The sequence below is a fragment of the Homo sapiens genome, chromosome 19, assembly GCF_000001405.40.
Source record: "Homo sapiens chromosome 19, GRCh38.p14 Primary Assembly".
Classification (NCBI taxonomy): domain Eukaryota; kingdom Metazoa; phylum Chordata; class Mammalia; order Primates; family Hominidae; genus Homo; species Homo sapiens.
In genome coordinates, this window is record NC_000019.10 from 55,799,099 (window position 1) to 55,814,155 (window position 15,057).

The 15,057-nt window shown below is 42.8% G+C and overlaps 1 protein-coding gene across 8 annotated transcripts in view, besides 2 other annotated features; it reads right to left on the minus strand.

Annotated features, from left to right (window-relative positions):
* The window catches only part of NLRP11 (NLR family pyrin domain containing 11), a 51,177-nt gene that overhangs the window by 13,700 nt on the left and 22,420 nt on the right, over positions 1–15,057 (minus strand). For 6 of the 8 annotated variants that reach the window (NR_169620.2, NR_169621.2, NM_001297743.3 and 3 more), the window contains 3 exons: positions 9,671–11,240; positions 8,755–8,916; positions 2,474–2,641 (listed from right to left, as the gene is read on the minus strand). Coding sequence is in view for 5 of the 8 variants with exons in the window: in NM_001385453.2 (NP_001372382.1) it covers positions 2,474–2,641; positions 8,755–8,916; positions 9,671–11,240 (1,900 nt within the window). In the remaining 3 variants the exon portion in view is untranslated. The remainder of the gene's footprint in view (positions 1–2,473; positions 2,642–8,754; positions 8,917–9,670; positions 11,241–15,057) is intronic. The other 2 variants (NM_001385451.2, NR_169622.2) reach the window with 2 other exon arrangements.
* Positions 10,405–10,699: an enhancer, noted in NCBI's record as "tiled region #15410; HepG2 Activating DNase unmatched - State 12:CtcfO, and K562 Activating DNase unmatched - State 12:CtcfO". NCBI's record gives its function as "activates a minimal TATA promoter and a strong SV40 promoter by Sharpr-MPRA in HepG2 and K562 cells {active_cell/tissue: HepG2 | K562}" and the evidence as "EXISTENCE:reporter gene assay evidence [ECO:0000049][PMID:27701403]".
* Positions 10,597–10,646: an enhancer, noted in NCBI's record as "active region_15109". NCBI's record gives its function as "activates an Ori minimal core promoter by ATAC-STARR-seq in GM12878 lymphoblastoid cells {active_cell/tissue: GM12878}" and the evidence as "EXISTENCE:reporter gene assay evidence [ECO:0000049][PMID:35858748]".

Here is a 15,057-nt window from a genome sequence, read left to right on the forward strand (position 1 = left end):
TCTACCAAAAATATAAAAGTTAGCTGGGTGTGGTGGTGTACCCCTGTGGTCCCAGCTACTTGGGAGGGTGAGGCATGAAAATTGCTTGAACCCGGGAGGCAGAGGTTGAAGTGAGCCGAGATCACCCCACTGGACTCCAGCCTAGGTGACAGCAAGACTTTGTCTCATAAATAAATATCAAAGTTGATATCTCTACAAATACTTCACTGAGTCTGAAACCAGGAGAAATGTTTGTAAATAAGTACCTAAGAGTCTTCATCACATAGAGGCTACTTAATGCCATGAATAAGAACTCATAGAAGGGGTATAGAAAAGACATTTAGAACCACTTGGAAATATCCCAAAGATAAGAGTCCAGGAAGATGAAAAACAAGTAAAGATGACTGAGGAGGAATAATCAAGGTTTGGGAAAAACCAAAGGCCAAGAGGAAAATGTGTTCCAAGATGAAAGGAGTTTGGGGAGGGGGGCATTGAGGTAGGGGAGAGGCTAACTACAAAGTGGCAACAGAGTTGGGATTTAGCTGGGAGAATGTGATAGGGAGAAGGGATGCTGAGTGAGGTGGAAGGCAATGACTCTCAAGAACCATGGAATTTGAACTATGTCAGAAAGAAAGTGAGGGGCTGGGTGCAGTGGCTTCCAGCACTTTGGGAGGCTGAGGTGGGTGGGAGACCAGCCTGGCCAACATGGTGAAACCCCATCTCTACTAAAAACACAAAAATTAGCCATACGTGGTGGCAAGCTCTTGTAATGCCAGCTACTCGGGAGGCTGAGGCAGGAGAATCGCTTAAACCCGGGAGGCGGAGGTTTTAGTGAGCTGAGATCACACCACTGCACTCCAGCCAGGGCAAAAAGAGTGAAACTCTGTCTCAAAACAAAAATGAAAACAAAAACAAAAAGAAAGGGATGAAGGGGGTGAAAGGGTGGGAAGCTGCTGCTCAAATGGCTGAAGGACGCAGTAGGATTAAAGGGTGGGAAGATTTGCTTACAAGACAAAGCAGCTTGAGAATACAGGAGGTGCCGTTAGAGCATGAGGTACTTGAAATTGAGAGTACAAGCGAAATGTACTTATTGGAGATGAAGTCTAGCAAGTGGTATTATCCAATATTGAGTCACCAGCAAGTAGAGCTACTGAGCACTCAAAGCGTGGCTAGCATGACTGAGGCACTGGATTGTTAGTTTTACTACATTTACATTGGAATTTATTATTCATTTATTTATTTATTGAGATGGAGTTTTGCTCTTGTTGCCCAGGCTGGAACGTGCAGCGGCGCCATCTCAGCTCACTGCAACATCTGCCTCCTGGGTTCAAGCGATTATCTTGCTTCACCCTCTCGCATAGCTGGGATTACAGGCACCTGCTACCATGCCTGGCTAATTTTTGTATTTTTAGTAGAGGTAGAGTTTCACTATGTTGGCCAGGCTGGTCTCGAACTCTTGAATTCCTGACCTCAAGTGATCCACATCCTCTGCCTCCCAAAGCGCTGGGATTATAGGCATGAGCTACCAGGCTTGGCTAGTTTAAATTTAAAGGTTGATTCCAAATTATTGGAAGATTTAAGTATGTTTAGGACACGGGCATGTGAATTAGTTCTCTCAATTGTAAATTTTATGAAATCAATACGGAGGTCAAACATTTCTGATGAAAATGTGCCCGAGCGGCGATGTTCTCTGTGAAATACTGGGTTCTGCAGCCTTTTACAAAAAAGGGAATATAAAATCACATCAATAGCTTTTTGCATTAATGACATATGGATATAATTTGATATGCTGGGTTAAATACTGTTAAAATTAGTTTCAAGGCTGGGCACAGTGGCTCACACCTGTAATCTCAGCACTTTGGGAGGCTGAGGCCTGTGGATCACCTGAGGTTGGGAGTTTGAGACAAGCCTGACCAACATGGAGAAACCCTGTCTCTACTAAATATACAAAATTAGCTGGGCATGGTGGCACATACCTGAAATCCCAGCTACTTGGGAGGCTGAGGCAAAAGAATCACTTGAACCTGGAAGTCAGAGGTTGCGGTGAGCTGAGACTGTGCCACTGCACTCTAGCCTGGGCAACAAGGGCGAAACTCCATCTCAAAAAAAAAAAAAAAATTAGTTTCACTTGCTTCCTTTTACTTTTTAATGTGGCTACTGGAAAATTTCAGTTTGTGGCTTGAATAATTTCCACTAGACAGTGTTTTAGGGTTTGACCAGTAGTCTACTTCAGAATGACCAGAGGAATTAGATCATTAGAGAAATATCAGTCAAGGGAGGGAGAAGCCATGTTATATGAAATATCAATGTAGAAATTGAAATCAAAAGGCAGGAATAATGTTGGTGAAAGAAACAAACCACGTGCTAAAAAAATTGAGGAATGAGTGACATCAAAAGGTAGGAGCAGGTAGTGTTATTGAAGGGGCACCTCTATCCACCAACACCCAGGCATTCCCCTCACATGCACTGAGCTTTCAGCCGAGCAACAACTCACCTCAGATGACTTATTTGGCATGTGGGCTCGTGCAGGATGTCATGCAGAAGTGAAAACATATTTAGGGAAATGGACGTACAGTTGATACTCAGGTATGTCAGGCTCCGATTACGAGCCAAAGCCTTGAGTAAGTCTTCAAAACCAGAAGCAGTCGAGACATAGGACAACCTGTGGAAGACATAATAGCAGGAAAGCACTAGTGAAGGTCTGAACATCTTCTCCACAATTTCTCCTGCCTGCCTCACTTCATCCTGTAACAAAGATTCTCAGTGGATTACATCCTCACACATGGCTCTCGATCTTAAATTTCTAGTCAGGTCAGAAGACTATTGCTAATTCCAAGGTCAGCCTGTTGACTTTGAAGTAATCCCCTGGGTCTTTATGGTGTGTTCACCTCATGACCTTTCTTAAGTGGGACCCACAAGCCGGATACTAAGAATACATCCACATGCACAAAGATATTAAGATACATCCACATGCACAAGTTTAACCATGTTTTTCTACACTGAGAGCAAAAGACAAAATATGCTGATGGCTGATAATAGCCACACAATCAACCACATGTAAATTACTCCGTTTCAGCAGTCCCAGCCAGAGCAATCAGGCAAGAGGAAGAAATAAATGGCATCCAAATAGGAAGAGAAGAAGTCAAACTATCACTGTTTGCAGATGACATGATTCCATATCCAGAAAACCCCATAGTCTCAGCCCCAAATCTTCAGCTGATAAACTGCAAAAGTTTCAGGATACAAAAAGAAAAAAATAAAATCAATGTACAAAAATCACTAGCATTCCTATACACCAACGACAGCCAAGCTGAGAGCCAAATCGGAAATGTAATTCTATCCACAATTGCTCACAAAGAATACCTAGGAATACAGCTAACCAGAGAGGTGAAAGATCAAAAGGAGAATTACAAAACACTGCTCAAAGAGATCAGATGACACAAACAAATGGAAAAAACATTCCATGCTCATGGAGAGAAGAATCAATATTGTTAAAATGGCCATACTGCCCAAAGCAATTTACAGATTCAATGCTATTCCTATGAAATTACCAATGGCATTCTTCACAGAAACTAGAAGAACTATTTAAAGTTCATATAGAACAAAAAAAGAGCCCCAATACCCAAGACAATCAATCCTAAGCAAAAAGAACAAAGCTGGAGGCATCACGCTACCTGATTTCCAACTATACTATAGGGCTATGATAACCAAAACAGCATGGTACTGGTACAAAAACAGACACATAGACCAACAGAACAGAATAGAGAACCCAGAAATGAGGCCACACAACTACAACCGTCTGATCTTCAACAAAGCTGACAAAGACAAGCAGTGGAGAAAAGACTCCCTTTTCAATAAATGGTGCTGGGGTAACTGGCTAGTCATATGCAGAAGACTGAAACTGAATGCCTTCTTCACACCACATACAAAAACCAACTCAAGATGGATTACAGACAAAATGAAGTGCAAAACTATTAAAAACTTGGAGGCGCTGGGCACAGTGACTCATGCCTGTAATCCCAGCACTTTGGGAGACTCAGATGGGCAGATCACAAGGTCAGGAGTTCAAGACCAGCCTGGCCAACATAGTGAAACCCTGCCTCTACTAAAAACACAAAAATTAGCTGGGCGTGGTGGCGGGTGCCTGTAGTCTCAACTACTTGGGAGGCTGAGGCAGGAGAAGCACTTGAACCTGGGAGGCGGAGGTTGCAGTGAGCCGAGATCATGCCACTGTACTGGGGAACAGAGCAAGATTCCGTTATAAAAACAAAAACAAACAAAACAAAACAAAAACTAGGCAATACCATTCTGGACATAGGAATGGGCAAAGATTTCATCATGAAGATACCAAGAACAATTGCAACAAAAGCAAAAAATGACAAATGGGAAGTAATTAAACAGAAGTGCTTCTGTACAGCAAAAGAAACTATCAGAGCAAACAGTCAACCTGCAGAATGGGAGAAAACCTTTGCAAACAATGCATCTGACAAACGTCTAATACCCGCATCTATAAGGAACTTAAATTTACAAGAAAAAGATAACCTCATTAAAAAGTGGGCAAAGGGTATAACAGACAGTTTTCAGAAGGTGACATACATGCAGACAACAAGCATATGAAAACAAGCTCAATGTCACTGATCATTAGAGAAAAGCAAATCAAAACCACGAGATACCATCTTACACCAGTCAGAATGGCTACGATTTAAGAATCAAAAAATAACAGGCTGGGCGTGGAGGCTCATGCCTGTAATCCTAGCACTTTGGGAGGCCAAGGTGGGTGGATCACTTGAGGTCAGGAGTTTGAAACCAGTCTGGCCAACATGGTGAAACCCCGTCTCTACCAAAAATACAAAAAATTAGCCAGCTTGGTGGTGCATGTCTGTAATCCCAGCTACTCAGGAGGCTGAGGCAGAACAATCACTTGAACCTGGGAAGTGGAGGTTGCAGTGAGCCGAGATTGTGCCACTGCACCCTAGCCTGGGTGACAGAGCAAGACTCCACCTCGAAAAACAAATTATGTATATATATATATGTGTGTGTGTGTATAAATAAAACAGATGCTGGCAAGGATGTTCCCACTGTTGGTGGGAGTGTAAATTAATTCGACCATTGCGGAAAGCAGTGTAGTGATTCCTCAAAGAGCTAAAAGCAGAACTACCATTTGACCCAGCAATCCCATTACTGGGTATATACCCAAAGGAATACAAGTTATTCTACCAAAAAGATACATGCACATGAATGTTCAATGCAGCACTATTCACAATAGCAAAGACATGCAATCAACCTAATGCCTAGCAACAAGATTGGATAAACGTGATACATATATACCATGGAATACTATGCAGCCATAAAAAAGAGAGCATTTTTTTTTTTTGGCGGGGGCAGGAATATGGAGTTGGAGGCCATTATCCTTAGCAAACTATCACAGGAACAGAACCAAATACTGCATGTTCTCGCTTGTAAGAGGGAGCTAAATGATGAGAACTCATGGACCTGAAGAGGAGAACAACAGACACTGAGGTGTACTTGAGGGGAGGAGGGAGAGGATCAGGAAAAAATAAATGAGTACTAGGCTTAGTAGCTGGGCGTACAGTCTTATAGTCTATATACAAAATATGTACGTCAAACCTGTGACACAAGTTTACCTACATAAACAAACTTGCACATGTACCACTGAACCTGAAGTTAAAAAAATAACAATTCACGGCTGGGTGCGGTGGCTCACCCCTGTAATCTCAGCACTTTGGGAGGCCGAGACAGGTGGATCACGAGGTCAAGAAATCGAGACCATCCTGGCTAACATAGTGAAACCCTGTTTCTATTTAAAATACAAAAATTAGCCAGGCGTGGTGGCGTGCACCTCTAGTCCCAGCTACTCAGGAGGCTGAGACAGAAGAATCGCTTGAACCCTGCAGGTGGAGGTTGCAGTGAGCTGAGATCACGCACTGCACTCTAGCCTGGGTGACAGAGCAAGACGCTGACTCAAAAAATAATAACAAATAATTCACAATTTCATTGAGGAAAAAGAAGTTGTCCTAGAGTCCCACCACCACCACCGGCCCTCACCCCCAACCCCGGAAGAACATTTCTCATTACTCCCTTGGAGTTGCAGCAGGACATCAGGGCAACAGCTTTGGTCATTGTCTCTAAGGGCCACCTAGAGAAAAGAGTTAGGAATCTCCAACTCAACATTAAAGGAAAGAGACGGGAAGGGAAATGTGGAAGCTGGCCAACCCTTGGAGGATTGAGGATCCTATGGCAAATCCAGGCATAGAACACACGGGAAGCCCTTTTAATTTACTTCCCAGCCTATGTGGCGACTCGGTGGGAGACTGGATGTTTTCCATGTTGCCGTATTTTCAGAGTCCTTTACCTAGCAATTCTCCTGATCCCCATTTTACACAAACAACTTCTCTCCCAAGTCTTTGCCCCATGTTGCAACAAAACTGTTTAAGGTTTTGTTTTTTTTTTTAAATACACACAATGGAGTCTCACTCTGTCACCCAGGCTGGAGTGCAGTGCCACAATCTCAGCTCACCGTGGCCTGCGCCTCCCGGGTTTAAGCGATTCTCCTGCCTCAGCCTCCCAAGTAGCTGGGATTACAGTTGCATGCCGCCACACCCGGCTAATTTTTGTGTTTTTAGTAGAGATGGGGTTTCACCATGTTGGCCAGGCTGGTCTCGAACTCCCAACCTCAAGTGATCCACCCGCCTCAGCCTCTCAAAGTGCTGGGATTACAGGCATGAGCCACTGCACCCGCCCTAAAAGTCTTCAGTTCTCCTTTCATCATTTTCAATTAGGCTTTTCTGCTCTCACTACCCTTCCAGAACTGTTCTTGGCCAACAATGACTTCTACCTTGCTAATGTCATTGGCCAATTCTCAGTCTTCAGTCTCCTTGAATAAGGACTGCCATCTGACACAGTTGACCTTTCCTTCGTTGGGAAACTTGCCTCACTGGGATCCGAGGATACCACACCCTTTACTTTACCTTCTAGCCTAATGACCACTCCCTCAAAGGCCTTCGCTAGTTTCTGCTTTTCTCCCCAATCACTTTATGTTGGAGAACTCCGGGCATCAGTCTTTGGATCGTTTTGCTTCCTGAGCAACATTCCTATCCTTGGTGAACTCAGTCCTTGGCTTTAAATACACATTTGTGTTATACACATGTATACATGAACGACACCCACATTTTACCTTCAGTTCAGAAACATTACACACTGCTCTCTGGACACCTAATAGACATCACAGCTTTAGCTCAAACAACTTTAGACTGACCTTCCTCAGATTCTGGCTCTCGCCGTCATTTCCCAACTCAGTGGCAACTCTCACATGGCAGTTTTCAAAACAAAGATCTTGGGACAATTCTCTCTCCTAGTCTAGATTTAATCAAGGAATCATCCTTTGTCAACATATGCCCCGGAGTTCGCACCTCACCAACCTCTACTATTCACACCCTCAGAGGCACCATTGATTCTCACCTGGCAAATGCCAAGAAAAAGAGCCTCCTCTGAGCTTTCAGATTCTGCCCTATGCTCCCCGATTGGCCATTTTTAAACGCGGTATCCAGAATGAGCTTCTTAAAATGCAAGCTAAATTATGGCATCTCTGCTCAAAACCCCTCAAAATGCCTCACCTCACTCCAGAAAACCCAGTCCTGACACTGGTTTACAACACCATGATCATGCCATACATACTTGTGAGCCATCTCCGTAATACCCTTCCTGCCTCACACTGGTCTAAACATGTAGGTCTCTGAACTCAAAGCCTTTGTTTCATGGATCCCTCCCATCCCAGGGGATGACCAACAGTTTATCTGGCTCATTCTTTCACCTCATTCAAGTCTTTGCTCAAATCTCACTTTCTCTGTGGAACTTATTACTACAGCCTGTACCCTCCCACACCCCTAAATACCCACTTATGCACCCTGACCTTGCCATTCTTTTCCCCCCGTAACACCATTATCCTAAAATACTTTAAAATGCGTGTACTTATTATGTCTGCCTATATTCTGTCTCATCAGATAGCAAACAAGGAAATTTGTCTTTTTTCCCCCCATTGATATATCCTAGTGCTTAGACTAGCACCTCAAACAAAGTAGGCATTCTTCTTGAATGAAAATAAAGTTAACTCCTGGGCTTCCAGAATCCTAAGATCATATATGTTGATGTGTACTGAATATTTTAGTGCCATTTCCTATAGAGCTATTATAAACTCAGATAAATACTAATTTTCCCAGTGACTGTTTAGGCAAGTACAGCTGCTTTTCACCTGATTCTAACGCATTCTGTAGGAAAGAAACTGTTAGACTCCTACCCTGACCCATTTTTGCTTTCTTCCTTAGGATAAACCCACTTGTTACTATTTCTTCCTGATTCCAAGAGACTACTTTCCCAGTCCCCCTTTGTAGTTATATGAAGCCGTATGAAGACAAGGTAAACAGGCCAATGAGATGCAAGCAGAAGTGATACAAGAAAGAGTTTTGAAAAGACTCCATCAAGGAAGCTCCTGAAGCTTCTAGATAAACCTTTCCTTCTCCCTTCTGTTGCTTCCTGCCTTGAAGGCAGCCATGATGGCTGGGACCTCAGATGCTACTGTGGCCTAAGGTCATCTTTATCATAGACACACTAAAGATGGTTGAGAAGTACAGAAGGAGCCTAGGCCCTGATGAGCCTGACCTGAAAGTGTGTTTTGTATATTGTCTTCTCCCAGAGAAAGAAAAAGACCACCGTTATTCCTAGGGGAACCTCTAAGGCAGAGGTTGATATAGTACTTACTTGAGTGTGCGAAGTTTACAGCTAGAATGCTCCAGGGCTTTAGACAGAATCCTTTCTGAAATACCATTAAGGTCATTGTCAAAGATATGCAGCTCCCGGAGGCTCTCCATTGTATAAAAAAGAGAGCAGATCTCTCTCCAGTAGACAAGGCTCTTCATTTGACTACATAGAAGAAAAATTGAGTTTTCCAATGGAATCGATTCAACTCCAGCAATTTGTAAAACATGTAAATTAAAGTATGTTTTGAGAGTGCCTGTTGTCTGACTCAGATTTAATACCATGCAGCAAGAAATAAAGTAGGGTCAAACATGAATGAACAACACTCAGATCCATTAAAGTAGCTGGTGATTCCATATTCTGATAAGACACATCTGAGTGCAGGGCCTTTAAATGCGAGATTATTAAATATTTTTAAACTTCAATATTAAAAATCAATGTTGCATGTTTTGTGCTATCATGAATACTCCTATAATGTAACAATACAAGGTTTATTTCTTTTTAATCTATACAACAGATCTGAAGAAATTAGGTTAAACCACTGGTTTGCAATGAGGCAATTCTGCCGCTAAGCAGACATTTGGTGATGTATAAGATTTTTGTTGCTGTCACAAACGGGGAAAAGGGGACCCTACTGGCCACAGGAGAGACCAGAGATACTGCTAAACCTCTTACAATGTGCAAGATAGACCCCCACCACAAAGAATAGCTGGCCCAAAACTTCAACAGTGCTGAGGTTTAACTCAAACTTTGAGTTTAAACAGAAGCAGAGAGATTTAAGTCACTGGTCTAATTAGAAGCTAGATTGGAAGTCAAGTTCTTCATGGCCCCGAGTTTGTCTTGTTCTGGTCAACAAGCTCTAGAATTATGGGCAGGTCTTAGGAAGACAGGAAAGAGGATTTATTTTTTAAAGACTCACCTAGCAGTTGGCCTTATAAGTGGCTCTTTGTTTTGAAAGATGCGCTGAACACTCAACTTAAGTGTCCTCAGGTGACAGCAGTAATCCAGACAGTATAATGAGACCATCATATCCTTGTCTGATTGAAGGTAAACTGTAACCTCCATGAGAGCATCCACAATCGTCTTCACAAATTCTTCTTCCCGATTCTCATAGAGACAGTAAAACAAAGGCATATGGTGCGTCAACTTTTCCGGGTCACGGTCCAAATGTTTCATGTATCCCACCGAGTACCACTTGAAGCTGTCTACCATCGGTAGCTGGTATCCAAAGGATGTCTCAAGAATCTTTCTCCTGTTTGCATTTAGAAGACCAAAAATGAAAGTAAACACTTGATTAAAGTCAGAGTATTGTTCTCTCTTCTCTTTATACTCTCTGCTGCCTGAGGGGATCAGATAGTTGGGTACTGCCATCAGAAATGCAATGGCTGTACAAAACTCCTGGACGTTCAAGTGTATGAACTTGTAACGGTCTTTATGAGTGTTGCTCGGCAAAAGAATATTCGCGGCCTGCAACACAGAGACATCAGCCTCAGTAAACCCAACACATCTGAGGTCTTCACCACTGAAATTCAGGGTGCTCAGAAACAGTCCTCCTGCAGCCAGCAAACACAGACGTTTTAGGAGACCTAGGTGATACTGATTGGCAGTAAGTCCAGCCTCTGATGTCAACGCATCAGCAAGAAAGTGGGCATGTAGATCAGTGGGTGTTTGGCAGCAGAGCTGGAAGTCACGCCCCTTGTCCATCTGCCGCTTCAGGACAGTACACGTGATCCAGCATAAGATGGCGACTCGGCACAGACCCACGAGTATTTCATCCTCATGTACAAGCTGGAGGGCTGCCGACGCCCTCTGGCGGTCTTTAAAGAAAGAGTTAAAATATATCTCCCTCTTCCCATTCGACAGCTGCAAGGTCGTGCAGCAATCTACCTCTTTCAAGAACGTTTTTACATTATTCCCACGTGTGGGCCTTGAGGAGATGAGGAACCAGCAGCCTGGAGCCATTTTTCTCTTCAGCAAACTGACCAGGAGAACTGGAATGGGAACTTTCTGGGTGCTGTTACTACACAAAGCACTTTCATTGACATTTAACTCGAATCTTATGTTGTCCAAGTCCTCGAGGATGAAAAGGAGTTTCTTGGGATCAGACAGGATGTCTGCAATGGGAGCCTGGCCGTCAGGCCAGTCCTTGGCGATTAGCTCAGCCAAGCTGCTGTTGGTCATCTGGTTTATTTCGTGAGCAGTGAGGTGAACGACGTACGAGATCATGTTCTGCCACATCTCACCCTTGATCCACCTCAACACAGCCAGATTTATAACAATAGTTTTTCCAGATGCTCTCTCTCCCATCAGGAACACATTGAGATTGTTTGCTGAATAATAGCTGGTAGAATCATAGGCTAATTGAAGTATGTAGAACACATCTGACGAAACGTCACGAAAAAATTTATAATGAAATTTTCCAAAAGTGTGACTTTCCCATTGCAGCATGAATTTTCTCCTCATGACAGCTTTGCATGCCTCCTGATTGCCTAATCCAGCGAGTACAGGGCAGAAAATACAGAACAAAGATGAAAGTTCAAGATGTAAAAACAGTTTTAGCTTCTTTTCATGTTTACAGTAAAAATATAGTAGAAATTTTTACTTACTACTGCTTATCACAAAGATATAGGTACAAAGATATTTACCATCATGTTGCTTGTTTTTGAGATGGAGTTTTGCTCTTATTGCACAGGCTGGAGTGCAGTGGCACGAACTGGGCTCACTACAGCCTCCACCTCCCAGGTTCAAGCGATTCTCCTGCCTCAGCCTCCCAAGTAGCTAGGATTACAGGCGTGCACCACCACACCTGGCTAATTTTTTGTATTTTTAGTAGAGACAGGGTTTTGCCATGTTAGCCAGGCTGGTTTCGAACTCCTGGCCTCAGGTGATCCACCTGCCTTGGCTTCCCAATGTGCTGGGATTACAGGCATGAGCCACTGCGCCCGGCCCATATTGCTTTAAAGGAAAAAGGTTGAATAAAACCTATTCAACTCATACAGTGGAGTCGACAGATCTGTTTTAGCTTTGTTCTTTATCCTTCAAGGGCTTCCCTCTCATGTCTTGGCATCAAGAACATATTTCTTTCCTTTTTGGGGGTTCCTTAGCGTTTTAGGTAGCCTTCAATTATGTTTCATTTCATACCCAGTTTTTCCTTTGAGGCAATAACTCGAGTTCAGGGACTGTTTCCTGGTACGTATTCAGCTCAAAGTATCTATTACATCTTGGCCCATCAGTCATGAGTTACACGTTCATCTTCCCTTCTATTTTTTTGTTTATGCATATCATTACTGAAATCCTGATCATTTAATGAACTACTTAAGATAAATGAAATTGTATGGAATAAAGTTAAAATTTATCGTAAAGGGAGTCTTATTTCTTGAGAATACACAAGATTGCACTCCCACTGCAAAAACAAACAAAAATGTTAAGACATAAGTATAAAGCTGTCATAGAGGTATGATACAGAAATGATCCAAATAAGTGAATTCCTAGAGGGGGATGACTCCTTCCTTAGTGAGCAGATACTTGAAAATGTTTTTATCCCTGGGTAAGGGCAGGCAAAAGAGGGAGCCTGGCAGCATGGAAGAACTTTGATGGGATAAATAAAAGCCAATGATGAACAGCTGCAGCAGGGCTGGTGTGGTGGACCTGAATGTACTGGAATGTGGCACACTGGCTCCCCCCCAGTGGAGATGAGCCTGATGGATCAACGGGCCTGATCCCACCCTCTAGACTACCAGGGCTGCCTAGTTCCGACCTAGCACATCTCAACAGCCTGGCAGAGACAGGACTTTCTCCTTACTGTTTTTATCTATGACGTTTAGTATACAATAAAAAAATTGAGATTCAAAGAAGCAGAAAGCCATGGTGATGAGTATGGTTCATGATTATAAACCATGATTCATAATCAAGAAAAAAAAATCTTTGGAAGATGTCTATTTAGGTGTTTTTCTTTTTGCCAATTTATTGATTAGGTTATCTGTTTTCTTGTTATGCAGTTCCTTATATACTTTGGATATTAGTTCCGTATCATACATAGTTTACAAATATATTCTCCCAATCCAGGAGTCTCTTCACTCATTTCCCTTTGCCATTCAGAAGCTGTCCAGTTTCACACATGTACACACACACACACACACACACACACACGTAAGAGAATAAATATGTGAGATAATAGATTTGTTAGCTTCATGTCAACATTCCACAATGGAAGCATATCAAAACATCACATTGTCCCATATAAGTATGCATAACTATTTGTCAAAAGTAAAATTAAAAAAAAATGAATAGAAGCATATGTACGGATAACCCAGCTTTTGGAATTAGGAGGTAATTTTATAATAAGTTTCATATTATGCATATATCCCCATATATTAGGTATATAGAGTATAAGAATCAGATGGATGCTCTGTAACTTAAAATATACACTATGCAAAACAAAGAATTCATTGGAATGGCTGAATGGCAGATGGCACACACAGAAGAAAGGATGAGGGGGCACCAGCACAGATCAATAGAATTGGCCTAACAAGCACAGAGGAAAAACAATCACAAAACCAATCAGACCATCAGGGAACTGTGATACAATATCAAAGGACCAGTATAAAATACGTGTAATTACAGTCCCAAAAGGAGAGGGGATGAAAAGGTATTCAACATCACGAATCAGAAATGCAAATAAAAATCACGATGAGCTATTCCCTTCACACCTGTTAGAATGGATATTATCAAGAAGACAAACGGTAAGTGTGGGTGAAGATGTGGAGAAAAGGGAAGCCTTGTGCACGGTGTGTGGGGCTGTCAATTAGAGGAGTCATTACGAAAAATGATGTGGAGGTTCCTCAAAAAATGAAAAATAGAACTACCCTAGGACCCTGAAGCTCTTTCTTGAGAATCCTTTGTGGTCAGAAAAGCCTGTCAAGGACGTTTTTATTTTCTATAAACTTAGTTCAAAACCTTAAGTTTATTCTTCAGTCCATTTCTCCCTTGTCACCTTTTATGATGAGCAAAACCACCACCACCAGGCTGCATCTTTATTGTCCCCCTAAATCTCCTTATCTTCAAGTTAATAATGTGCATTTTCCACTGTTATTTCAGGAACAACCTTGCTAAACTTTCCACCAGTTCAGGTTCCCACCTGATAAAGTCCACTGAAGGTCAAAGGCATGTTGAAAACTTATTAAAATGGTAGAGGGTGGCCAGGCACAGCGACTCACACCTGTAATCACAGCACTTTGGGAGGCGAAGGCGGGCAGATCACCTGAGGTCAGGAGTTCGAGACCAGCCTGGCCAACATGCTGAAACCCCATCTCTACTAAAAATACAAAAATTAGCCCGGCATGGTGGCAGGCGCCTGTAATCCCAGCTACTCGGGAGGCTGAGACAGGAGAATCACTTGAACCAAGGAAGCAGAGGTTGCAGTGAGCCAAGATTGCACCACTGCACTCCAGCCTGGGAAAAAAAATTTTTTAAAGCAGAGGAAAGTTACAGGTCAAGTAGTTTCTTGACCTGTAGTTTCCTCTACCCTTTAATTACTTGACTTGTAGTTTCTTTCCCCACTGAAAATTTCAAGGCCCATCAGGCATCTACCAATTTCCTGTCCCAAATTCCAAAGCTCCATTTGAGTTTTGTTTTCCACTGGGAGCAGTCTATGTAAGTACTAAGACCTTTTGCAATTACTACTGCGATATGTCGAGCCATCCCAGAAGAGGTACTGGGTGAAGAAAGTGAAGAAAAGAAATCATATCTGATATTCTCTTAAATATCTGCAATTTGGAGAGAAGTAAACAGAGCAGGTGAGCATGTACCTCATGAGGAAGGGACAGCACAACAGTCTTGAGAATAAGATGATCAAGAGAAGCAGGAAGGATTTCTATTTTCTCAGGGCCCTGGGCAGAGGAGGAGGGGAAAGACATTGCAATGTCCATGGAAGTGAGAAACTCACTGAGTGGACTCAGCCCTGCTACTGACATTTAAAGGGTCACCATGGAGGACACAGCCATGGTCTCCAGGAAAGCCTTCTCTCAAACTTGGGTTCACTTCCCCCTCATTGAAACCCTCAGTAGATAGTGGTAAAAATGTAAAGGGTAATAAGAGATTACAACATGGCCTAGGAGGCATGTTCAGTAGACTTTACGCCAGACTGATATCAGTCTGTGGCCTGTTAGGGACTGGGCCCCACAGCCGATGGTGAGTGGTGAGTGACTGAGCACTCCTCTGTATTTACAGCCGCTCCCCATCGCTCACATTACCACCTGGGTTCTGCCTCCTGTCAGATCAGTGGGAGCATTGGATTCTCACAGAAGC